This window comes from Homo sapiens, chromosome 3 (assembly GCF_000001405.40).
Source record: "Homo sapiens chromosome 3, GRCh38.p14 Primary Assembly".
NCBI lineage: Eukaryota > Metazoa > Chordata > Mammalia > Primates > Hominidae > Homo > Homo sapiens.
In genome coordinates, this window is record NC_000003.12 from 13,227,230 (window position 1) to 13,253,071 (window position 25,842).

General features: G+C 52.9%; 1 protein-coding gene across 6 annotated transcripts in view, besides 4 other annotated features; it reads right to left on the bottom strand.

Annotated features, from left to right (window-relative positions):
- Window positions 1-25,842, bottom strand: part of IQSEC1 (IQ motif and Sec7 domain ArfGEF 1) — a 386,215-nt gene that overhangs the window by 330,187 nt on the left and 30,186 nt on the right. The gene's annotated exons all lie outside the window — the stretch shown is intronic.
- Window positions 4,606-5,107: an enhancer, noted in NCBI's record as "H3K4me1 hESC enhancer chr3:13273335-13273836 (GRCh37/hg19 assembly coordinates)". NCBI's record gives its function as "activates a minimal SCP1, AML or CMV promoter by ChIP-STARR-seq in naive H9 embryonic stem cells {active_cell/tissue: H9 hESC(naive)}" and the evidence as "EXISTENCE:reporter gene assay evidence [ECO:0000049][PMID:30033119]".
- Window positions 10,292-10,896: an enhancer, noted in NCBI's record as "H3K27ac-H3K4me1 hESC enhancer chr3:13279021-13279625 (GRCh37/hg19 assembly coordinates)". NCBI's record gives its function as "activates a minimal SCP1, AML or CMV promoter by ChIP-STARR-seq in primed H9 embryonic stem cells {active_cell/tissue: H9 hESC(primed)}" and the evidence as "EXISTENCE:reporter gene assay evidence [ECO:0000049][PMID:30033119]".
- Window positions 10,897-11,500: an enhancer, noted in NCBI's record as "H3K27ac-H3K4me1 hESC enhancer chr3:13279626-13280229 (GRCh37/hg19 assembly coordinates)". NCBI's record gives its function as "activates a minimal SCP1, AML or CMV promoter by ChIP-STARR-seq in primed H9 embryonic stem cells {active_cell/tissue: H9 hESC(primed)}" and the evidence as "EXISTENCE:reporter gene assay evidence [ECO:0000049][PMID:30033119]".
- Window positions 14,877-15,080: a silencer, noted in NCBI's record as "fragment chr3:13283606-13283809 (GRCh37/hg19 assembly coordinates)". NCBI's record gives its function as "represses an EF-1alpha promoter that drives an FKBP-Casp9 reporter gene in an ReSE screen in HepG2 liver carcinoma cells {active_cell/tissue: HepG2}" and the evidence as "EXISTENCE:reporter gene assay evidence [ECO:0000049][PMID:32094911]".

Below are 25,842 nucleotides of genomic sequence, written 5' to 3' on the forward strand. Positions count from 1 at the left end.
GCTGGGCATGGTGGCGGGCGCCTATAATCCCAGCTACTCGGGAGGCTGAGGCAGGAGAATTACTCGAACCCGGGAGGCAGAGGATGCCGTGAGCCGAGATTGCGCCATTGCATTCCAGCCTGGGCGACAAAGCGGGACTCTGTCTCAAAAAAAAAAAAAAAAAAAAAGAAAGAAAGAAAAGAAAACGAAAAAAGAAAAAAAAAATCCTGCCCTCTCGTAGCTCATGTTCTAGTGGGGACACTGGAGGGGCAAGAGGAAGTGCAGTAACATATGAGGTCAGAGGGGTGATAGTGACACATCGTGCAGGGGCTGTGCCCACTGTGAGGACTCTGGTTGTCACCTGGGTGAGGTGGGTGCTGTGGGAGGGTGCTGAGCAGAGGAGGGACCAGGGCTGATGGGCAGAGCAGGGGGACCGTTCTTAAGGCTACAACCAGGAGAGAGCTGGCAGTGCCGGGGCCAGGTGGGGCGATAGAGGGCTGGAGGGGCAGATTCCGAAGGGGTCCACCGTCATTCACTAGTGGCTGACAGGGGGTTGTGGAGACAGGCAGCAAAGTGGGGACTTTCCGGGAGGCATCTCACAGGAAGACGTCCACACGTGAGGAACAGAGACCACTGCCTTGGCTTGGAGCTGCAGGAGGCAGGCTAAGCCCACACGGATGCCGAGGCCTGAGGCTGGATCCTCAGCCTGGATGCTGCCTCCACCCCAGCTTGCCGAGGACCCCCCACCATCCCCAGCAGCCTGGCCTCAGTTTCTAAACAGGGTGAAGGGCCAGCGATGGTTCCTCTGAGGCCCTCGGCTGTCCCTGCTGTCTATGCGCCTCCTGCTCTCAGGCCTGGGAGGTGTGATTTACTCTCCTGACCTCCAGGCAGCCCGGCTCCTGCTGGTAAATGCACTGAAAAGTCCATCTTTTCCACCTCCAGCCCTGCTGGGAGTGCCCAGGTGCCATCACCTGGGAACAGCTGATGACGCGAGCTAAGAAGTTCAGAGTTGCTTTTGCTTTACAAGGCGCATAGGAACACACTGTACTAAGAACGTGCCAGAAGCCTCAAGATCACTAAAGATCCCCATTTACCAGACCGGAAACAAAGGAGCAGGGGAAGGAAGCGCACACGTGGGGCTTCGTGGGCTGGAACTGCATGACCTCGGCAAGTCACTTCCCTCCCAGAGCCACTCTTTCCCAGGTTAGCTGGAGACAGCCACAACCTACAGGCAGGCGTGGTCGGAATTAAAGACAGCAGGCACCAAATGCGTGGTGAATGGGAGACATTATAGTAACTGTTTTATTAATCTTAGATTAAACTATTTCTTGCAACTTTGAAAAGAAACCAAAATCTTATTTTAGCTTGCAAAGGTCCTAATACCTTAAAATTTTTTGAAATCTTTAAAGCCTTACCAAAACCTTTGCAGGGCCTGCAAGGAGTGGCAGGATCTGGCCCTGCTCACTTCCCCCATCTCAGCTCCTTCCTCTCACCCTTGCCCTCTGTGCTCCAACCTTGCTGACCTCTTAGCTCTCTAAACAAGAAAACTTGTGCTGACCTCAGGGCCTTTGCACATGCTGTTCCTGCTGCTGGAAACACTGTTCCCAGGCTCTCGGTACCGACAGGATCCCTTCAGGACTTGGTGTAAATGCTACTTCCTCAGCAAGGCCTTCCACACTGCTTCACCTCAGTTTAGTCTGTCTCCTCTCTTTTCTCCTCCTGGCACCTAGGACAATCTCTCATTGGTCTGAGAACTCCACAACTCCATCTGTCCGTCTCTCTTTTCACCACTAGAGCCTGGCCTGGTGCCTGGCACACAGTATAGATTATGGAATAAACAAATAAGCCTGTGACATGGGCTGGCACCACTGGCATACACACACACACTCTCATATACACCCTCACACAGTTGGCACAGCACAGAACAGAGTAACATCAAATCCTGACTGCCTGGGTTCAAATCTCACCTTTCCCCTAAACAGCATTTGGTAAGTTACCTGCAAATTTTAAAGCTGTGATATTGTTTGGTTTGTCAAGTTCTTAGTATGGTGAGGTTCTCTCACAACCATGTGCTGTTTTGATGTACACATACTATGATGACAGGGCCTGGCCTATAACAGCTACTGCATAAATGTACTCAGCCTTCAAATGCTTGCTGAGTGTACAGGGGTCCAGGCACTGCCATCACAGGGGAAGCCCTCATCTTAGCTGTCGAAGTGTTTATGGCCTTCTGTGTGACAATTTAAACAGCTGTGCAAGAGATGAATGCCCAATCGAGGCAGTAATGGCTGAGCTGTCACAGGCTGCCCGGGACTGACTGTCACACGAGTGCATTACAGACAAATGCAGGGGAAATGTGGTGGGAGGAGGGGGGACCTTGAGGGGTCAGCAGGGACTTCGTCAGGGAAAAGAGATCTGAGCTGGCAGGTGGACTCACACCCATCTATTCATTCTTCGTTCTTCCCCCTAAACTCGCCAAACTTGTTCCTACACTGGAGCCTCTGCACACACTGTTCCCCCTGCTGGGATGCTTATCCCCAGGTCCATCCAGGAGCTAAGCTCCTCTTCTGCACAGCTCAGCCAGCACCTCTAGAGGGCTCTGCCTAGACACACCACTTCCTAGCTGTGTGAACTTGGGCAAGTGACCCAACCTGTCTGTGCTTGCTTCGGTTTCTTCATATGTCAAGTAAGAATAAAAATAGCACTTATTTCATGGGGCTGCTTTGAAGTTTGAGTTAATATGCATAAAATATACAGAAGAGTGCCTGGCATATGGTATACAGGAAATATGAGGGGACTTCAAGATGTTCATGGAAAAATGGAATTAAAAGATAAAAATAGAAAGTATAAACTTTATTTCTCAACATGAGCTCTATCAAGGTCAAAACACTTTTGTAAGTGATGATTCCAGCCATTTAGTCCATCTTTAAAGAATAAAGAACAGAGGGTCCCAGGAATTCAACTATATCCATGCAGTCTTGTTTACATTATTACCCGAAGAAAGATGGGTGCCCTTTAGAGTTGTTTTTAAGATTAAGAAACATAAATAAGTCAGAAGGAGCCAAATCAGGACTGTAAGGTGGATGCCTATGATTTCCCCTCAAACGCTCACAAAATTGACCTTGTTCGATGACAGGAATGAGCAGTGGCATTGTCGTGGTGGACTCTGGTGAAGCTTCCCCAGGTGTTTTTCTGCTAAAGCTTTGGCTAACTTTCTCAAAACACTCATCATAAGCAGATGTGATTGTTTTTTGGCCCTCTAGAAAGTCAACAAACAAAATGCTTTGAGCATCCCCAAAACTGTTGCCATGAGCTTTGCTCTTGACTGGTCAGTTTTTGCTTTAACTGGACCCCTTCTACCTCTTGGTAGCCATTGCTTTGATTGTGTTTTGTCTTCAGGGTTGTACTGAAGCTGTGTTTCATCACCTGTTATAGTTCTTCAAAGTCATGCTCAGGATCTTGATCCCACTTGCTAAAAATTTCCATGGAAAGCTCTGCCCTTGTCTGCAGTTGATCTGGAAGCAACAGTTTTGGCACCCTTAACTATAAGAAAGATTTCCTTAACTATAATTTTTCATTCAGAATAGAATAAGCTGAACTAAGAAAGAAGACCATGGTGTTGGCTATTGTTCTGCTGTTACCCATTGGTCCTCTTCAACTGGGGCATGGACAAAATGAATATTTTCCTTGCAGACTGATGTGGATTGTGTGCCACAGAGGGCTTCATCCTCAACATCATCTTGTTCCTTCTTAAAAGGAGGTATCCATTTGTAAACTGCTGATTTCTTTGGGGCACTGTCCCCTTAAACTTTTCATAAAGTATTGATGATTTTACCATAAATTTGATGTTTGCTTTTGTTTCAATTTTAGCAGAATTATTATTACTCTGATAGGAGCTCTTTTCAAACTGATGTCTTATTCTTCTTAGGACCTCAAAGTAGATCCTGTTTGGACATGTTACAAGTTAGTACAAGTTTATTTTGATGCAAAAAATTTGGAAATCCATGCAGAGTTTTTAAAAATAATACTCATTTTCCATGAACTTTTTGAAGTCCCGTGCGTGTGTGTGTCTGTGTGTGTGCCCACGTGTGCACACATGTGTGCATCTGTCTCTCTTAGTTTGAGCTACTATAACAAGATGCTATAGACTAGGTGGCTTAAAAACTGAAATTTATTTCTCACAGGTTGGGAAGTCCAGATCAGGGTGCCACATAGCGGGGATCTGGTCTTCTTGCTGCAGCCTCACATGGTGGGGAGAGAGAGAGGAAGCTAGCTTTCTCATCTCTTTTTATAAGGACACAAATTCCATCATGAGGGCTCCACCTGCATGACCTCACCACCTCCCAACGGCCCCACCTTCAAATATCAACATGATGGGGATTAGGGTTTTAACATGTGAACCTGGGGGACACAAACAATAGACACTATTATTCTCTATAAAATGGGGATGATGAGCCCTACTTTGCTGTCTCTACCAAATGCAATAATGAATGTGAATGTTTCTTCTAAACTATAAATTACTATGCCAAGACCCTAACTCTGATTTCCACCTAAGCACTGACTTTCCCAAGAGCACAACGGGTCTCTAAACCTCAGGAAGTTGGACTATTTTTATTTTGAACTTGACCAAAGCTGTTCATGGTTTCAGAAACTCACACCCCCTTTGGCGATGCCGTGCATGACTTCTGAGCTGCTGACATCTGCTCTTCCAATGCACTTGCAGCAGTCACATTCTGGTGCTCCCACGCCGAGAGGCGGATGTCACTGCCTCCCCTGCCTCGGAGGAGAAACATGCCGGGCCCCAACCTAGTGCACTGACGTGTTGAAACCTGGATTACTTGGATCATAATTCACTTTCCTTTGCCTTCTACTTTATAATAGTTAGGGCACTGTACTGGTTTTTTTATAAAATACGTGCTGGGTGTGCTTTCTCAGCTGAGTCTCACTTCAGGACGACAAAGGGAGTTGCGAAGTGTTTGCTATCCTAGATGGGTTGTTCTGAGACCCTGCACTAGCCACTCAGCCCCACCACTGTCCTATCATAGACAGGAGGAAACAAGAACATGGGCCAAGGTGCCCAGCTAGCAGGATCTGGGGGGCACCAACGCCGAGTGGCTTCTGCTGCCCTCTTCTCTGGAGGAAGGGGGTCCACTGCCCCCAACCCAGGCTAGGTCTCTGTCCACCTCCCTGATGACCTCCCTCTCTGGCAGGAGGCTGTCGCAGGAAACGCTTGTAGCAGTAATTCACAGGGAGGCGTCATCTGCATTCCCAGCAAGGCAGGGAGGTGGCAGGGAGAAGAAAGGCGGGGAGGCCTCTCACGGGGTGGTGACAAGCAGAGAGAGGACCCAGCCTGGCCCGGCTGCAGGTCTGGGGAGAGAGGGCAGGGGGCAGGTCAGATGTGACAGTCCACGAAAGTGAGCTGGAGTCAGGGGCGCAGGAGACAGAGCCACAGCCTCATGGGCTACACAGACTTGGAGAATAATGATAAAATTATGTATTAAATATTATTAGGTAATAAATAAAGAGTAGTGTACCCCAGTGTCCACAGCTGAGTGGATAAACACAATGTGGTCTATACACACCTTGGAATCGAATCCAACCATGAAATGGAAGGGAATTCTGACCCACACAACAATATGGATGAAGCCTGAGGACACTATGTGAAGCGAAATAAGCCCGTCACGAAACGTGAAAAACAGTCTCATTCTACTTGTGTGAGGTCCCTAGCAGGACATAAAGTAGAATGGTGGGTGCCCGGGGCTGGGGGAGGGAGGATGGAGAGTTGATGTTTAATGGAGGCAGAGTTTGTATTTGGGAGGAGGAAAAGGTCCTGGAGATGGGTGGCAGTGGTGGCTGCACAGCAAAGTGAAGGTACTAATGCCACCGCAATGTGCACTTAAAAATGGTGACAATGGTAAATGTTACGCTGTGTATTTTATCACAGAAAACAAAGTGTCACGTGAGGTGCTCATTAGAAATGCAGATTCCAGGGCAGAGTCTCTTAGAGACCCAGACTTCAGGTCTGGGACAGAGTCTGGGCACCTGCGTGCCAACAACCACCCCAGGGACCAGATGCAAGTGTTCTGGGAACACACTTTGAGACATGCCACCCTCCATCCAGCACTGTCCCTTCCTCCATCCTGAGGGGTCTGCAGGCCTCACCACTTTGCCTGCTCACTGGCGGCTGCAGACCGTCCTGGCTTCAGGCCCCTGTTCTGGCTGTGCTGTGGACTTGGCTGAGCCACCCGCTACCATTTCCCAACCTCCACTCACCTGGGAGCCTCCTGTGGCAGGTTCCACAGTCTGTCTATTCCACCGTGTGGACAGACCACATTATGTTTATCCAAGCCTCAAGGGGTTGGTCCCGGACTGTGCCCCAGCCTCCCCACCCAGCTCGACATAACCCCACTCTCTTCCCTTCCTCCCCTCCGCCTGACTGTCCTCACAGCCGGGTGGGGATTCTCCCTGCCACGTAGCCTGCTGTCTTTTCTCCTTGCTCTTGTTTCACAGATTCCTGGTTGGCTCCTTGAGAAACAGGTCCAGAGGTGCTGAACTCCCCAGGGAAGAGTGAGGGCTCCCGGCAGGCTCCTGGGGAGCAAAGCCCGGCTCCCTGCTCACATGTGGTATGGCCTTGGGCGGGGCACTTCCCCTCTCTGTGCCCTGTAACATGGGGATAATTCTAGTACCCAGAACCCCCAAAAAGTGGGGAGGGTGAATCAAGATAAAATGTGCAAACTGTTCAGACAAGAGGCCAGGCAGGTGAGTGCTGTTGAAGTGGGGGCTGCTGCAATGACTGACAAGGCGAAACTGACGCGCTCTGCATGCCACTTCCGGGATCCCAGTGGAATTTAAAATACAAGCTTCCCCTAGCTCTCCAATGCTGGGTTTGTCTAATTTCGTGCTTCAAAACTTTGGCACAGATTGTGCCTGTGTTTGTCTGTGTGTACCCCAGTGTCTATGTGGGTCTGTGGGTGTGAGCCCCCATGTCTGTGTGTGCCTGTGGGTGTGAGCCCCCGTGTCTGTGCCTGTGGGTGTGAGCCCCCGTGTCTGTGCCTGTGGGTGTGAGTCCCCGTGTCTGTGCCTGTGGGTGTGAGTCCTGTGTCTGTGTGTGCCTGTGGGTGTGAGCCCTGTGTCTGTGTGTGCCTATGGGTGTGAGCACCATGTCCATGTGAGCCTGGGCAGCTGCTCCACAGGAAGGGACCAAGACAATGGTTTAAGCTACACCACAGATGACACCTCTCCAGCAGGAAGCCTGGGGTCGAACCTGCCCCTGGGAGACCCCCTCCCTTCCCTGAAACACCTGAATTTCTTCTAAGTACCCCCCTACCCCATGTCATCTTGCGCTATTACTGCTGCTGCTGACACTAATACCTACTTAAGTGGGCTGGTACGAGAAAAAGAGAAAAGAAACCCACACAGGTTATGCCTGCAGCAGCAGCGAGAATCAAGTGAAATTGCCCAGTGCATGCCCAGTCCCCAAATCCCACACACAAGATCGGATTTTCTTCCCTTTCCCTCCCCTGCCTCTCACAACTCTCGGGTGTGACTAAATGTGGAAAATATTAGTGTTCCTTAATTCTTTCCTGGAGTTTACAACAAATGAGAAATGTATGCTACTATTGAGGTCCCTGTGTTTCTCCCCGCATGAAAGCTAATAAATCTCTCTCTCTCCCTGACTGTACACACAGTGTTGGTTGTCAAATGTGATTTGAGTTTGCCGGCAGTCAGCCACGAGGTGTGGGTGATTGCTGAGGCCCTGGGAAGAGATGGGTGCAGGAGAGGTGGATGTGTGGAGCCGGGGCATGGGGCCCACGGGTCTGGGGACGGGCTCTGGGGGTCTAGCGAGGTGGGCTGGCTTCGTGTGTCTGTGCATTTTATTTTCTCTGATGGAAGAGATCCATCGGTTTCCTCTGTGGGATCTGAGACCCAGAAAAGGATTAAAAGGGAGAGTCCCCATCCAAAGTGGGGTGGGGCTGCCCCGTCTCACAGAGAGGGGGCCTGGTGGGCCCCTCAGTCAGGGCTTCTCCCCCAGCTCTCCAGGGAGCCACTGTGGCCTGGCTCCCACATCCTGCCACACCCTCCCCGGCGCTGGGGTCTGAGAGGTGTGGCCACACCCTTCCCCTGGCTGGTGGCAGTTACCAATCAATCCCAACCACTGCTGCTGGCCCCGGGGGACCTGCAGGCACCTGCATCCTTGGGCTCAAAGGTGGGGAGAGCCCAGATCTCTCCAGAAACCTCCCTGCTCACAAGTTGGGGCTGTGCACCCCAACAACAAAATCCCTGGTGCTGAGCTGGTTGGGGGAGTGGGAGCACCTCAGCAGGAGGGGGAAATTGCCCAGAGGTGCCCCTCTGAGACTGCTGGAGGTGGGTGCTGTCTGCAGACACGCAGGCACCATGAGGCCAGCACATCACTCCCGCTGCCTGTGGACATTGCTCTGGGACCCCAGGTGGCCCGGGCGGAGGAAGAACAAGATCCTTGTGGCAGCAAAGGTGGCAGCAAATGCCCTATCACATTCTTCTTCCCTTTGGGAAATGTCTGAAGTCATTGCCACTGCAGGCTTAACATCCAGTGCCTGCAGAGAGGGGAGGGAGGGCAACACGGAACCAATGCATGTCCTTGCTACTCTGGTGAACCTGGTCTTTAAATCCTGTTCTTATGCCGCCCCGTTCCCTGTAGCCACCAGCCCCGCTGAGACAACCCGCTGCGGCAGACAGATTGGGGGTTCTGGTCCCGTTCCTGGTCCTGTCGCCTTGTAGTGTGGGACCCTCAGCAAGGAACGCAGCTTCCTTAAGAGTTTGTCTCCTGAAAATGAAGTGAATGGATCTTGCCCCATGGGGCCTTACGAGATAGATGTATGAATGCCGGGCCCTGGCGCCGTGCCAGGCTCACCAACCTTTACTCATCTCTGTTCCCTTTGTTCCCGCTGCACAGAAGTTCAAGGGCAAGAGACTAAGGCTGCAAGCTCCCCACTGAGAAGCCAGGCAGGATGAATTCTCAGATCAGAGCCTGCACTCAGGTGGGCGTGTGCCCTCCAACCCTCCAAGGCCAATGTCAGCCCCCTCACAGGTCCCCCAAGGCTGCATCCTTCACATACTTAAGGCCAACTGGGGTGAAGCACACAGCCAGGCTGTGCTGGACTGGAAACTGTTCTGACAACCCCAGATCTTCCAGTTTTCGACATGAAACTGGCCATCTTTTCTGCGCATGTGATGTTTCCATGGGCCAGGTCCTCTGCCCTGCTTTCGTTAGTGGGGACACGGTGGTTCCAGATGGTCCTAAGGGTGCTCCAAACTTGTCCTGCTAACACATGGTGCAGTGACGAGAGGCTCACTACCTGTCAAGGGCCTTCACCCCATCCTCAGGTGCTTCGGAGTCACAGACCCCCTCTCACTGAGCCAACCATCCCCTCCACCTTCTCTGCCTGTGACACCCCCTGCAGAGGTGGAGATAGCAGCCAGCTGGGTCCACAGACGTGAGAAGGCGCCAGCTCCACCCGGGCCCCTGTGCTAGGGCTGGGACACAGAGGGAAGGGTGGGCTCGCTGCCATCAGTCTACGCATCATCTACGCTGCCATCAGCCTCCAGCTGGCTGTCTGCACTTGAGGCCTCTGGTCACCCCATGCAGCTGATGATGCCCCACCCCCACCCAGGGTACTTTGGGAAGGGGTGTTTTTGGGGAAACAACAAAATGCCCCCCTCCAGCCAGGTTTTGAAGGCTGCTCTGCTTGTCTGAGGCCGAGGGCCCGGCCCGGGCGCACTGGGTGGCCCCACACCTGGCTCACAACACCTGCCCGAGGAGGGGCTTCCTGGTGTGGAGGGGATGTGACTGTGCTCTGCTGGACACGGATCCCAAGGCAGGGCTGCACTGGAAGGTCTCCCTCCGCCTCCCAGAACCTCTCCACTTTCCTCTGATTTCCATAGCTGCTTCCATAGAGGTTTCTTTCAGAAATAGGATTCTGCTGCCAACAATTTACAAATGTAAAGGGTCTGAAAACCGTGGCCATGGAAGAGCCCTTTCTGTGTGGATGGGATGACGCCTGAGCAAGAGTCCCCCAGAACGGGGTCACTGAGCTGACAGCAGGGACACCCTGTGGAAGGTGGGGACAGGCCCCATCATCCTCCGAGGCTCTGGACAGGGCCTCCCGTTTGCACAAAACCAAGCAACACTGGCCTCCACCATGGTCTCAGGACACAGGAATCCTCCCATTCTGAAGGTTTCTTCCAGTGATCTTTATTTATTCCCTCGGTTCCTGCCAGTAAGCACACCTGGATGATGGAGCTATCGCACGAGGGAAGTGATCAGGACAGGGCACTCTGAACCGGTGCAGGCCCCGGTTCCCCCACAGACACAGCTGAGCTGCTGGGCTGCGCACTTCCCCGCCATGTTTTCTGCCAGTAAAGCTGCTCCAAGGCTGCAAGGCAGGACTCCACAGGAAAGCACAGGACTTCCCACAAGCAGCCCTGCCCTTGGAGATGGTGCACTTGCAAATCCTCAGCTCCGCGGTCGGTTTCCTCCTCTGTAAAATGGGTTGATGCCTGCCCTGAGGCCACTCTGTGGAAATGACATCGAAGGTGATAGCTCCTGCGAGCTCTGGCATGAAGCAGATGCTTCCCAAGCCCAGCTCAGCTCGGAGGAGACCAGGAGCTCAACCAGGGGCCCAGAGCCAGAGCAGCCAAGCCCAGGCAGGGGGCGGGCCGAGGTCACTCCCTGTGGAGGCTTGGCCAGTCCCCAAATGCTTCCTCTGAGACACTCCTTAGGCCTGCATGGGGGACTGCAGAGCTGTGGCCTTACTCTCCCCACCAGGGTACACCTGGAGGCACTGACCGCTGAGCATCCACGTGCAGATGGGACAAGCACAACGCATGGTCGGGCAGGCCTGGGGCAGATCCTGGCACCCACCGCGTGCCCCAACCAACTAGCTGGACTATTCGCACCTCCACGTGCCCATCTGGAAAATGGGGTGCAGACACATCAGCCCACGGCGGTCACCGCCCTCCACCTGCTTTCCTCTCCTGGTCCTGGCAAGACACATGCAGGACCCTGTCACTCCTCCACACAACCCTCAACAGCTCCCTGAGTCCAGACCACGCACAGCAACCCTTGTCCAGCCCTGGCGTCCTCCCCTTGCACTTCTCTTGCACCCCAAGCTCCAGCCCCAGGGCCAGCACACTTGCCATTCCCTCTGCCAGGAATGCTCTCCCCAGAACCCCAGGGCTCATCCCCTTCCTCCAGGCCTCTACTCAGCTGTGGCCTCCTCAGAGATGGCACCACCTCTATCCCCGACAGAACCTTCATGGCACTTGTCACTCTCATGTCAGGTTTTGTCATCCATCCTTCCCAGTAGGAGCTCGACACAGGCAGGACCACGTCTTGTCCCCACCACATTCCAGAGCCTAGAGCAGGGCTCAGCACATGGCTGGCATCACCACAATCCCGGCTCAGCAAGGAGGGGTCAGCAACCTGGGCGCTGGGCCATCCTCTGCTCCCTGCCGTGCCATGCTCTCCTAGAAACAGTGAGCTCCTGCCTCAGTTTCCCCATGTCCTTGAGGATGGCCTCCACTCTGAGTCCAGTCCAAGCCACACACCACCTCCTGGGTGTGCAGCAGCCCCCAGGCCCTCCTACAGTCCCTGGGAGGGCTCTGGCCATTAAGGACAGGCCTCCCTCTGAGTGGCCCCACATGCTTCTCCTAAGGAGCTGGACATAAAGAGACCAACACCGTCATCTCCAGTTCTCTGGGAGGAGGGGGATTGTGCTTCAAGGAGCCCATGCTGGGGACTCGACACGCCCACCAGCCTTTCCTCATTCCTGTCTCCGCTTGAGGACATGGGGTTCCCCGAGGATGCCCCCTGCTCCCTGTGAATCTCCCCTGCTGGGGTGGAGGACAACACAATGAGTCTCTCAAAGGAGCAGAGTTAGAGCAAGTTATGGATTTCCTTTGGTTGCACTAAATTAAAACTGGAAGCCGGCTGCCCAGGATGTGAGGGCTCCGGTTTATGCTGGCGGACAGCGGCTCAGTCCCAGTCCACTGGGCCCACTCCACAGGCAACAGCCACCCACAGCACAGGCACATAGTGCGGAATGAACTGAGGGCTTTGGGGGCTGCCCCATTGAGCCCCTGCCTCCTGGCCTGGCTGAGATCTGGAAGAGGCAGGCGGGACAGGAACCCATGGATTTGGCACACCGCCGGGCGTGGTCCTCACCATCTCGGGCCTGCTTCACACCCTTTTCCATCCAGGCATCAGAGCCGCGGACACAGGAGACAGAAAGACCCTCGTGTTCTGGGTCCTCCTGGCCGTGAGGCCCTGGGAAAGCCAAGGTCTCTGCTCTTACTCTCAGCAACTTGGGGCAGCGTTCACCAAAGCTGCCCGCCCCTTGGGACGCAGCAAGGAACCTAGATGGTCCATGGGGGAGGCCCCCCAAGCAGCACCCCACTTACTGAGGACAAACCCTCGGAGCCCACCCACAGGGGTTCCCAGCCGTGTGCCCACAGGCAAAACTGAGCCACTGGACACGTGGTACCACACAGGTGAACCCTGAGGACTTGATGCTGAGGGAAATAAGCCGGACACAGAAGGACGAAGCCTGCAGGACCACGTTGCGAAGAGGCCCCAGCGCAGCCAGATGCTTGGAGACCAGAGTTGGATGGGGGCCCCGAGGGGCTGCGGGTGGGGAGTGAGGAGTTAGTGTTGAGTGGGGACAGGGTTCAGTTTGGGAGGAGGAAGGAGTTCTGAAACAGATGATGGTGACGGCTGCAGAACAGGGTAAGTGTGCTAATGCCACTTTGCGCGCACTGGAAAACTGGTTAAAAGGGTAAGTTTTATGTTATGCATATTTTGTAACAATTCAACATCTACAACTTTTAATTAAAAAAAAACAAACCTTGGCCGGCCGGGTGTGGTGGTTCATGCCTATAATCCTAGCACTTTGGGAAGCTGAGGCGGGAGGATCACTTGAGGCCAGGAGTTTAAGACCAGCCTGGGCAACATAGCAGGACCCCATCTCTACAAAAAATTTAAAAAATTAAAAATTAGCCAGGTGAGGTGGTATGTGCCTACAGTCCCAGGTACTCAGGAGGCTGAGGAGAGAGGATCTCGAGGCTGCAGTGAGCTATAATGACAGCACTGCACTCCAGCCTGGGTGACAGAGTGAGACCTTATCGCTAATAAATAAATGAATAAATAAAAATTAAAACCCTGAGCCATTGTTTGAGGCTCCCCAGGGCTAGGTGGAGGGCAGGGGAACAGACCAAGCCAACACTCAGAGGCTTGGAGGAACCCAACAGCAAGGGAGACACCAGCGGTGTGGCAGAGGCTGTGATGAATGGCAAGGGAGCCTGGCAAGGGGTGGGCGCCAGTTGGTAGAGGGTCTCACGGGCTGCAGTAAACTCAAGCTAAAATGCATGCCCCTCAGCGCCACCCTCACAATCCCCCTCCCACAGAACATCCTGAGAGCAGGTCCGTCACTCTGTAAGCTCTAACTCCCTGTCAGGACACCAGTACCCAGTGCTCAAGAAATGCTCACAGCTGAATTGAACGAAATCTGGGCTCCATGAAAGACCCGGGAGGATGCAGGTGCCAACAGGCAGAGTTGCGGCAGGCAGAGGAGATGATAAATCCGACACACTTTGGATATGGGTGGACTTCACGTTCATTGATTTGGAGTACCAGATCCAAGGGGCGCCCTCCACACTGGACTACAGTCATTTGTTAACGTAGTTCTTGGAAAAAAACAGAAGTCTTCTTCCTTCTCCTAAGTGATCAACTTCAGCAGCATGTCCCAGTTTCTGTTTGGCAGTGCACAGGTGGGCCCACCGTGTGATCACGTCTCCAAACCAGGCACTTGATGGTCTGAAGACACCAGAATGTGCCGCACAGTCCAATTTCACCTTGTCAACGCCTCATGTCCACGGGCCCACTGCAGGCTCTGAGAAGTCCCGCAGTAAAGAAACCCAGAATTCCCACGATTGAACTGATAATGAAATATTTTAGTTCATGACCCTAAAAACATCTGAGTTTGGAAAATGCTGAATTCCGGGACCTTGTTATGCAAACAGGCCAGACACAAGCAGGCGAAAGCAGCTTTTAACAAAATATGTCAAGTTGGAAGCTTTCGAAGGACGACCTGGAAATCCCCTGCTGTTCTACCTGAGCTGGGCTCTGTCCACCAGACCACAGGCTGCCCTGGAGCAATTTTCCTTCTCCATTTTCTACGCCTGGGAGCAGGTGTGTCCGCTGTGACGTCCTTTAACCAGGATGCTGGCAGCTTCAGCTTAGACGCTTCACCCAAAGCCACCTTGCCCAGCCCTTGAAGTCACAGCCTCTCCCTCGGGGACTGGTTTCCAGGCCAATGAGTGCTTGGTGGTTTGTCTTCCTCTTCTGAATAGGAGAGGTGTCAGGATGAGTCCCGAATGTCCCCACCGTTCATGACAAATGAGGATGCATCTGCTGGTTTCAGGACAGACCAACCCCAGCACATTCTAGCCCAGTTCCCGGGCTTCCGTGTTTCAGAAACAGGGCTGGCAGGTCCTTGCCAGCTGGGCTCATCCCAGAGGGGGATAGCCCCGGGAGGGGGACCCACTGGCCCCTGGACCCCTCTCTCTCACACGCTAACCTCCCAGAGCCTCTGAGGCCGTAGGAAGCAGCTGTGAAACACATTTTCACAGACGGAACGGGAAGATGAAGATCAGGAGGCAGATGGTGGAGAAGGTGGCGCCACTGAGTGAATGTGATTGACGCCAAGGAGCTGGACACTTAGAAATGGCTAAGATGAGCAGTTTCTATTACATGTGCTTTACCACAACGTATATACATACACACATGTGTGTATGTGTGCATATATATTTGTCTTTTGATAAAACCACCCACACAGGGCAAAGGGACAGCTCCTAGGTGACAGCAGAGACCGTGCCACCTTCACTGTGAGAGCCCCAGGCCTGGTGGGGGGCTGGGCACATGGGCAACCAAGAAATGCTGGAGGAAGTAAAGAAGTCAGGAGGTACTGGGCTCGAGCTGGTCTCCAGGTCTCCGCGGCTGTGATGCGGGTGAGCTGCTCAGACTTTCTGAAGTCCTGGCCTACAGAATATCAGTGACAGCTGTCACTGCGAAGGTGACCCACATGAGGTGCGGTGACCCTTTTGACATAGAATTTTCCCAAGTGCTTCTGGCTCTGTGCTACACTTGACCTCACAGTACCCCCAAGAGCAAGGTGGGCATACGGGGAATACCCCCAGGTTCAGATAGCTAAAGTCACTTGTGCAGAGTGACATGGCCAGCAGGGCCACAGCTGGCTCCATTAGCGGCACCCATGCAGGCCTTCCACTAGCTGCACATCCCGGCCGTGGCTGAAGCCTCTGTGTCCGTCCACTACACAGTGTCTTCCTTAGGGGGAGGCGGGGCTGGTCCTGCTCTGCTCCTTGCCCTGGGTGGGCGACATGGGCCTGGTGACTCTGGCATCTGGGGCTGCACTCCTAGGATTGGTGCTCGTGCTTCTGGAGGATGTTCTGCTTCAATAAAGTGGCTCACCTGAAAACGAAGCCTTTTCCTTTGTGAAGCCCCTTCAGGCTTCACGTCACCGGGACTGGTTGGAGTTTCATCTGACGCAGACACCAGGTGTTAACATCCCAGTGCTGGAGCAAAGGGAGAGAGGGAGGGAAGAGGAGAGGAGGGGGAGGGTGAGGAAAAAAGAGAAAAGGGAGGGATGCAGAGGAAGGGCTTGTCTTTCCACACATGTGGGGGGCCCTACGGGAAACTCTTTAAATCCCAGTAGTGAGGGGGTTGATTGGAGAACTTGAGAGGGTTCCGCCAACCTACAGGGTTGACTCCTTCTGGGTAAGTTAGGCTTCAGAATTGTCCTGAACACAAGCTAGGAGCCAGTCTCATGGCTGTGAGAACAAGAGTAAATCCAGGTGAAGTCCCTTCGCACACAGAGATGCTCACAAATGTGACCTAACCTGAATTTACACCGTGCTTGGCCAGGCCCACAGCCCTGCCATCCTCAGGAGCCTTCCCCGAGGTAACTTCCTGCACACCCTTGGGCAGGGGCTTCTGACCCTCTGTGGTGTCCAAGCTTTGAGGGAGGGGAGAGGATCGTCTGTCTGTAAACAAGACCCTGTGTGTCCACTGAGAGCTACCATGCCAGCTGACCCTCGGACGAAGGGCTGCCTGGAAGTCAGGAGCCCTGCGGAGGCCCCAGGGCCACAAGCTGCCTTTGCCAGAGCCAGCTAAGAGCCTCTTTGAGAATACACTGCAGACAGACCCTTCTGGAACAACAGCTTCTTCCAGGGGTGCTCTCTGCTCCAGATGCTACAAGGAGGTGCTGCTGGCCTGGCGCCCACCCCATCTCTGTCTCTCGCAGAAGCCTCTACACCCCAGTAGAAGCTGAGGTCAAGCGGATGCGCTGGGCCAGGAGACAGCCTCATTCCCCTCCAGACCGAGGAGAAGTTCTAGTAACAGATCTGACCAGCAGGAGCCAATGCGCTTCCTCTTCACTGTCTGGAGGGGCATGTGGGCCCGCACATGCCTCTCTGGTCTCACATGCAGAAGCATCTGCATGTGCAGTTGTTCTCTGGGGGCTGCCTGTATTTCTAGGGGGGCGTATGGCAGAATGGGAAGCAGTGGAGAGCACTGGATTCCTGCTGTTCTGTTTCTGTATCTTCGCTGTGCGACTCCTGGCAGCCCCATCAGCCCTCAGGGCCAGAGTCCCTCCTCTGCAAAGTGGAGACAATGGTGTCTGCCCACAGATGGCCACAAAAGCAGTTAGGAAGCTCGAATAGGATATGATGCCCTTTCATTTGCTTGACACACATTTGTGGAGCGCCTGCTCTGTGCCAGGCCACCATTTCAGGCAGAGGGGTGGCCTCACTTTGTGAGCAGAGCTGAAGATCAACCTCCAGCCCGTCTGACTCCTGCAATGTCTGACTCCAGCGCATGCTGTTGCTTTCTTTAAAAAGCAGCTGATTTAAAAAAGTTGATAACAAAAAGCAACTGATAATTTTTTTTTTTGAGACACAGTCTTGCTCTGTCCCCCAGGCTGAAGTGCAGCAGTGCGATCTCAGCTTACTGCAACCTCTGCCTCCCAGATTCGAGCGATTCTCCTGCTTCAGCCTCCTTAGCAACTGATAATTTAATACTACCATGTCTATTTTTTAACACTTAGAAATCGCTCCTCTACAAAAGTGCAGAAACAGCTGAAATTACAACAATTACACACCAATATCCCAGTGATTGTCGGTATATGTAATTCACCTGCCATTCAAACGTAGGATCCTGGGCTTGCAAATAGTGGTGCTAAATAAATGTCTGCTGAGTGGATTAATGGGGAGGTCCACTGAGCTCCAAATAACGTAACCCCAGAGAGTGGACTAGTCTATTGATTTCAAAAAATGTCTGGTTCAGGCCTCTGACTGCAGTTGTGACCAACCAGCCCAGGCACTCCATACTGATCCCCACTCCCAGCCTCAGCAGCTGGGGCATGCGATAAATCAGTGGCAAAGGAATCCTTTCAGCAGGGAGAGGACTGTCAAGGAGTGGGCAGAAGACTTTGGAGAAGACTTCCACCTTCTCTAGACCTGCCAGCCATTGACCACGAAGCACACACCAAAAAAAGCCTGTAACTCTCAAACAACACAGCACAATGACAGGCACCGTGGCACCAGCCAACTGCTCAGGAAGGGGGGTCATGTGACACTCTGCCACCCCACAGTCGCAGCTTCCCATGCCTCTGAGGACTACTAAGAACCTCAATGGAGGCACGCAAATGGAGCCCACAGTCTCGAGAAGCACTGTGTATCTGCTAGCTAGGGCCACTATGATGCTACAAACAAACTGCCCCAAAACTTGATGGCTTAAAACAGCCAACATTTATTATCTTTCATGAGTCTACAGGTGAGCCAGAGATGCTTCTGATTGAGCTGGGCTTGGCTGATCGAGTCTGGGCTCGCTCATGTGTCTGTGGGCTGCCGGCAGCTCAGCAAGGGGCTGGCTGGACTAGCGAAGCCATGAAGCCACGAAGCCACGGTGAGAAGACTTGGCTCTCCTCCACGTGGTGTCTCATCCTCCAGCAACCACACCCAGGCTCACCGATGCAGTGTTAGGGCTCTAAGGAAGAGAGCAGAACTTCCAGCAGCCGCAGCTCAGAACACGCAGAGCATTACTTCTGCCACATTCTCCTGGCCAAAGCAAGCCACTCAGCCAGTCTGGATTCAAGGGGTGGAAAAAAGGGCTCCACCTCTGGATGGGAGACGCTGAACAGTCACATGCCAAGAATGTGGACGCAAAGCCAGGCACAGTGGCTCACGCCTGTAATCCCAGCCCTTTGGAAGGCCAAGGTGGGTGGATCACTTGAGGTCAGGAGTTCAAGACCGGCCTGGCCAACATGGCAAAACCCCATCTCTACTAAAATACAAAAAAATTCCTGGGTGTGATGGCACACACCTGTAGTCCCAGTTACTGGGGAGGCTGAGGCACGAGAATCGCTTGAACCCAGGAGGTGGAGGTTGCAGTGAGCAGAGGTCGCGCCACTGCACTCCAGCCTCAGCAACAGAGCCAGACCCTGTTTCAAAAAAAAAAAAAAAAGAATGTGGTGGCAGGCAGGGTGGGGAAGTGAAGCCGTTTCGCAATCACCCCACCACACTCCATGGCCTTTCCTGCTAGATGAAAGACACTGGGATTTGTTTTTCACTCAACACACCCTTTGTGGCACACTGCCGGGGAACCCAAACCGAGACACCTCTATTATCATGGACCTGAACTTCCAGCTGAAGTTGAAGGCTAGGCCTGTCCCAACATGGCAAGGGACACAGGATTTCCACTTGAAACGGTGATGTGATGATTACTTTAAAATAGGTGTTTTCTCTTTCAGAAACTATTTGTGGGGAAATATTAACTAAATAGTAGTGCATCCGAGCATCCATCAATGGATGAATATACAAACAAAATGCGGCCTATCCATGCAAGGGACTATTAGCCCTACAAAGGAAGAAGGTTCTGGGCCGCACTGCCACATGGGTGAACCTTCAGGGTGTGCCGCAGAGTAAAACAAGCCGATCACCAAAGGCCGAGAACAGCAGGACTCCACTGATCTGATGCACTTGGAGTAGCCAAAGCCATAGGGACAGAAATGGAGTCAGGGGTTCCAGGGGCTGGGGCAGGGGAATAAGGGGTTGGTGTTTCATGGGAACAGAGGCTCAGTCTGGGAAGAGGAAAACATTCTGGAGATGGACGGTGGGGACGGTGGCACATCAGTGTGAGTGGAGCTAATCCCACTGGAGTGACAACGAAAAGTGGCGAAAATGGTAAATTTTATGTGAAGCGTATTTTGCCACAATGAAAAACAAAAAAGCAAAAAACCCCACAGTAGTGCAAAGGAAATATAGCTACGAAATATAAACATGGAAAGACTGTGGCGGCAGGCGGCAGACCCCTGTGCTCCAGCGTCTGAGCTACCTGTGCCCTGCTCTGTGGATCTCCCATCAAGTTCAGAGGCTTTGCTAACTGGTAAACAGCTTGTTCATCAGTGTGGCTGATGCAGGAATGGGTTCTCTGGTCAGGGGCGATGTCCTATCCTCGCAGAATACTGCAGACACCTCCCTCCCTGCACGGACCGGGCAGGAACAGCGAGCTATGAGCCCTGCCACCCTTCCTGGATGGGGGACACAGCTGGGGCCCCACCCAGACCTGACTCCCACCACGAGCGAATGGGGAGGCTTCTTGCTCTCCCAATTCCCAGAGCTGACCAGCAAATCCTGCCCCTGGAACGCTGGCCTGTTTGCCTCGGGTAGGCCTTTCTTGAAAGGAGGTTGCAAATACCCAAAATGACGCCTTTCAGCTTGTGGGACCACTGTCCAGCTGTCTCGCTGTGGGTGCCACTTGTCAGCAACTGTCTCTACATGAGATGGAAGCTGGTCTGATACCGGACTTGCCTAAAACCTGCTGGTGAGGTCTGCAGGGGACGGTTGCTAACTCATCCATAACCACCTTCACCTCCATCATCTCCTAGAAGTTACCTAATAGATGTGCCTGCCCAGACTGGCTTTGGACAGGTCCCCACCCCTCCCAGACACCCCCAGGACGTGCTGGGATTTCTCTGCTGCCATTCTGTTCCCATCTCATAACATGACAATCTGAAAGTCTGTCCGGCTGTCATTTCCTCCATTGCCCCCAGGCTCTGCTCTGTCGGGGACAGCCAGAGGTGTGCACTGCAGCACCTGGATGAATGTTGCGGCTGCTGTGGCCTCACCTCCCTCATCGCCCCCCTTGGGACAAGGACTGACCCTGCCTCGGCTGATAAAGAGCTCACTATGGTCAGGCTCCACGCCAGAAGCTGGGACTTGGCTCTCTCCTTCTTTTCTTCAGCCTGGAGCTGAAGCAGAAATTTCTCTCTCATAATTTTCACTCCATGAGCCTTCGCCCTACAGTTAGGGGCATCAGAATCACTTACAGTCTCGATGCCATCACATCAGCCGCCTTCTCACTTCCAAGTCAAGTGCAAATTTGATAAGTGAGTTTCATGGTCTCCATCTGGATCTGGATCTGGAGGGAGGGCCGGGGACTTCCTCTGGGCTGTTGACACCCCCCAGCCACCTCCCAGGGCACACAGGCATTGCAGGCACTGTTCCCCACTGCACGTTCCCCATCTTCCCACAGACACGCTGTGGGAACCCTGCCTCCACGGCCTAAGGAGACGCACTTACTGGGCCTGTCTTCCTGGGGTTCCAGTGGGCTCTTTGTCCAGGACCGTGGGCCACTGTTCACAGTCCTCTCCTGCCTTGTGCCTGTGGTCAAGTCCAAGCTCGTGGGAGTGTAGGTTTGGATGTCAAAATGCCCCCTACAGGTTCTTAAGGTTCCCCTGGAGTCACCAGGTTTGGGGGCATCCCCCATCCATTCACCCTCAGAGGGCTGCAAAGCTGGGTTCTGAGACCTCCCAGACTGCAGGAAGGGCAAGCTCTGGGCTTGGAAACCTGGGCTCTTTCCAAGTGGTCAGACCCCTATTGTGTCCCCAAGGCCACTGGAAATCCAGCATCTACGTGGGTTCAGGAGGAAGCCGGGGTTTTCCCCTTTATCTTCCTCATAGACAGTTCTGGCTACACCACTGCCTCTCAACAAAGAAGGAATCTCTCAGCTGGTGCTTGAGGATCCCCGAGCTCTGGACTTCCTGGCCTCATCCCCACCTCCCACCTGACTCCCACCTGTGCCCAGGTCCTGGGAAAACTAGAGTCCCTCTGGTTTCCAATCGGGCTCACCCTCAAAACCTACTCCCAGTCTCCCCTGAGAGAACGTGGAATGCCAACCCCTTCCTTGGCTCTGGTCCTCTCCCCACTCCAAGGCCTGTCCACACCATCCCCTTCTCCAGGAGGCCATTCCTGGCAGCTCCAAACCACTCATGCAGTCCTGCTCCCTCAGTACCCTTTGTGACTCTCAGAATAAAAGTAGCCCCCTTACAGGTCATGTGAAGGTTAAATAAAGTGCTGTAAGTATAAATCTTGGGATAGCACCTGGTGTGGCTGACAGTTACTAATCACGTCGTACAGACCAGGCTATTTTTATTATATCCATGTTATAGATGAGGAAACTGGAGTGCAGAGAGGTTGAGTAACTTGCCTGAGGTCACAGAGCTGCACAGAGAGGCTAAGTCACCTGCCAGAGGTCACACAGCTGCACAGAGAGATTGAGTAACTTGCCCGAGGTCACGTAGCTGCACAGACAGGTTAAGTCACTTGCCTAATGTCACAGAATTAATCAGTGCAGAGCTGGATTGGACCCAGACACTCTCGCCCCAGTCCGTGCTCCTGACTTCAATTCCCCTCTTATGAGAGGCTCTACCTCCTGACTCAGACTGTGGGCAGAGTCTGTCTCTCATCACTGGAATTCCTTGTTGGGTCTCAGCTCTACCTCTCAAAGGGTGGGACTTTGATGCGCAATTATAGAAAAGAAGGAAACTTCCTTTGGGGGAAGGAATTTCTTTTTTTTTTTTTTTTTTTTTTGAGACGGAGTCTTGCTCTGTCACCCAGGCTGGAGTGCAGTGGCGCGATCTCGGCTCACTGCAAGCTCTGCCTCCTAGGTTCTTGCCATTCTCCTGCCTTAGCCTCCTGAGTAGCTGGGACTACAGGCACCCGCCAGCACGCCCGGCTAATTTTTTTGTATTTTTAGTAGAGATGGGGTTTCACCGTGTTAGCCAGGATGGTCTCGATCTCCTGACCTCGTGATCTACCTGCCTCGGCCTCCCAAAGTGCTGAGATTACAAGCGTGAGCCACCTTGCCTGGCCCTTTGGGGGAATTTCTTATGGCTTCAAATGCTTTCACTGAAGAGAGTTTATTCTATTTCTATCCCTCAGTCATGCTCATCGGCTTATGTTCCCTTACTTCAGTCACATTAGGAACCAATACGGAGCTGTTATGGAGTTCGAATACCAGCTTGGGTTCGAATACCAGCTCTTGCTGTGTGACCCTAGGCAAACCACTCCATCTCTCTGGGTCTCGGTCTCCTCTTCTGAAAAACGAGGTGGGGGAGCCGGGGTCAAGGGGAGCGTAAGGTGAGATGGATGGGCACAAGCACAGGAGCAGACTCCAAGGAAGCACAGAGGAGGAGGACGCCAACAGAGCAGACGCTGCAGCCGTCATCCTCTTGGGGCAGGACTGATTCCAGGCACTCAGCCATGTGAAGACCCCCACAGGTTTCCATGGCAACTTTGCCACTAACCACGCAGATGCCCAAGGGCTGGTGATTAGCCTCCCTGGGCTCAGTTTCCCCACCTGTGAGGTGAGGGCCCGTCAGCTCCATTGCTGCCTGTGCAGCTGAGGTTCTAAGATTTTGCCTTTGATGTGGAGCGGTCTCATTTTTGTGGCTGCCATGGTGACCATCTCACAGCACGGCTCCACGTTTCCATGAGCAGGACACAGTTATGACATAACCTTCTTAGCCTTTCTAGGGCTTGTCACAGGCTTTCAGGGGACACAGCAAACAGTAAAAGCTCTGCAGATTCAACGAAGGCCAGCTGGGTTTGAACCAGCCATGCAGGGGAACCTCCAGGTGCGGTGGGAGCCAAGACAGCGAGATAGCTGAGGCTCAGCGGCACACACAGGAAGCATCGACCCTGTGTGGGATGACAGAGGCTAGGACAAACGCGGGGACCTGGTGCAATAGCCGCGGGACCAGCAGTGCCACGGTGATGTCTAATGGACAACTGTCAGCGAGTGCTATCAGCCCCACTTTCCTTTTTTTTTTTTTTTTGAGACAGAGTCTTGCTCTGTCACCCAGGCTGGAGTGCAGTGGCTTGATCTTGGCTCACTTCAACCTCCCCCCACCACCACCCTCCACCCCCAGGTTCACATGATTCTCCTGCCTCAGCCTCCGAGTAGCTGGGATTACAGGCGCCCGCCTCCACCTCACCCAGATAATTTATTTTATTTTATTTTATTTTATTTTATTTTATTTTATTTTAGTAGAGACACGGTTTCGCCATGTTGGCCAGGCTGATCTCAAACTCCTGACCTCAGGTGATCTGCCCGCCTCGGCCTCCCAAAGTGCTGGGATTGCAGGCATGAGCCACCGCACCTGGCCAGCCCCACTTTCAAGGGACATCCAGAACCCAGCTTTCCCCCACCCCTGCTGCCACCCCTCTGGTCCCGCCACTGTCATCACTTGCCTGGATCATTGCAGTGGCCTCTCTGGGCTCCCTCCCTGCACCCACATGCCTGAGTCCCTGCCACATGCAGCATCCAGGGCTCCAGGTCCCCATCGCTCCTCCTCTGTCCAGAAGAGGCTCCCTGCCGGGGGTAAAGGCAGAGTCCTCCAGGGCCCTGTGTGAACTGCTGCTCCTTGACTTCTGAGTCCTCACCTCCTCTTACCCTCCCCCGGCTCCCCCTCAGTCACACCAGCCTCCTTGCCATTCCCCCAACAAGCCAGGCACCTGCAGGCCTCTGGGCCTTTGCACTGGCTGAGCCCTGGGCCAGGCTGGCTCTTCCCAGATGTGTACACAGCTCACTTGCCCACTTCCTTTAGGCCATTGCTTCCATTCCATCTAACATGCCAACACCACCTACCCACCCCAGCTCGATCTTTCTCCTAAGCACATTTCCAATCAAACACACTACATATAACCTCTATTTACCACCATTATTGTCTGGCTTTCCTCACTGAAATGAGAACCCTGAAGACAGGAATTTCCTTGTATTGTGCACTGTGGTAACTGCTCAGCAACTGGAACAGTTCTGGCTCATAGAGTAGAAGCTCAATAAATATTTATTGAATAAATAAATGAATAGTGTTTGCTGAAAGAACCTTCACACTCAGGAATATTTTAAGTGTTGCTGCAATTCCCGACCAGCAAGATGCAGAGGAAAACCTTGAGAAGAGGACCCAGAAGGAAACCACAGTATTTACACAGTGGCATCCAAAAGACTGAAATATGCCAGCTCAGAGCTGGAGCCTGGCCAAGGGGTACAAAGGTTCTGACAAGGACTGCACCATGCAGAGGTCACTGCCCGCTACCTGGGGTATGAGACTCTGTTCCATTCAACAATATTCTAATGAGACAGTCAATGTCCAAAAGAAGACTCCTGACAGGAGGGACCGAGCCAAGGCAGCTGAGCCAGCTAGGAGGATTGAGTGACAAGCACATACCCATGCCAGAATTAGAGGCCAGGCAGGAGGTTCCACAAAGGTACCTCCTGGGTGCTGAGTGCTGAGACTACAAAGCCAAAGAAATGAGTTTCTGACCTCATGTAGCTGAAAGCTTAATAAGTACAACAGTAGCAGCAGCAGAGCAAACCCAGAGCCCAGTGCTCACTATGCCCCACATACTGTTTTTCCCCGATTTTTTATTGTGGTAAACTACACACAACACAAAACGTATCATCTTACTCATTTTCAAGTGTACAGTTCAGTGGACTAAGTACATTCATAGTGCTGTGCAGCCATCACTACCATCCATCTCCAGGACTTTTTCATCCTCCCAAATTGAAACTCTGCCCCCATTAAACACGAACTCACCAATCCCCCTCCCCTCAGCCCCTGGCGTCCATCCTTCCACTTTCTGTCTCTACAAATGTGACTACTCCAGGACACTCTTTATAAGGGGATCGTATGGATCTGCCCTTTTGTGAGCAGCTCATGTCATCTGGCACCTGCCCTCGAGATTCATCCACACTGTAGCATGTGTCAGAATGTCCTTTGTTTTTAAGGCTCAACCATATTCCACTGTGTGCATAGACCACAGTTTGTGAATCGGTTTATCTGTGGTTAGACACTGGGGTTGCTTCCATCTTTTGGCTGCTGTGAATAACACTGCTATGAATGTGGGTGTGCGAGTATCTCTTCGACGCCCCGCGTTCAATTCTTTTGGGCATATGCCCACAAGTGGGATTGCGGGATGCAATGGTGAGTCTATGTTTAATTTTTTGAGGAACCACCACAACGTTTCCACAGTGGCGGCACCATTTACATTCCCACCAGCAAGGCACAAGGGTTCCAATTTCTCCACAACTTCACCAACAGACTTCTTATTATCTATGTTTTTTTTTGTTTTTGTTTGTTTGTTTGTTTTGAGACGGAGTCTTGCTCTGTCACCCAGGCTGGAGTAGAGTGGCACAATCTCAGCTCACTGCCAGCTCCGCTTCCCGGGTTCACGCCATTCTCCTGCCTCAGCCTCCCGAGTAGCTGGGACCACAGGCACCCGCCACCACTCCCGGCCAATTTTTTATATTTTTAGTAGTGACGGAGTTTCACCTTGTTAGCCAGGATGGTCTCGATCTCCTGACCTCGTGATCCGCCCGCCTCGGCCTCCCAAAGTGCTGGGACTACAGGCGTAAGCCACCGCACCCGGTCCCTTATTATCTACGTTTTTGATAGTAGCCACCCTGGTGGG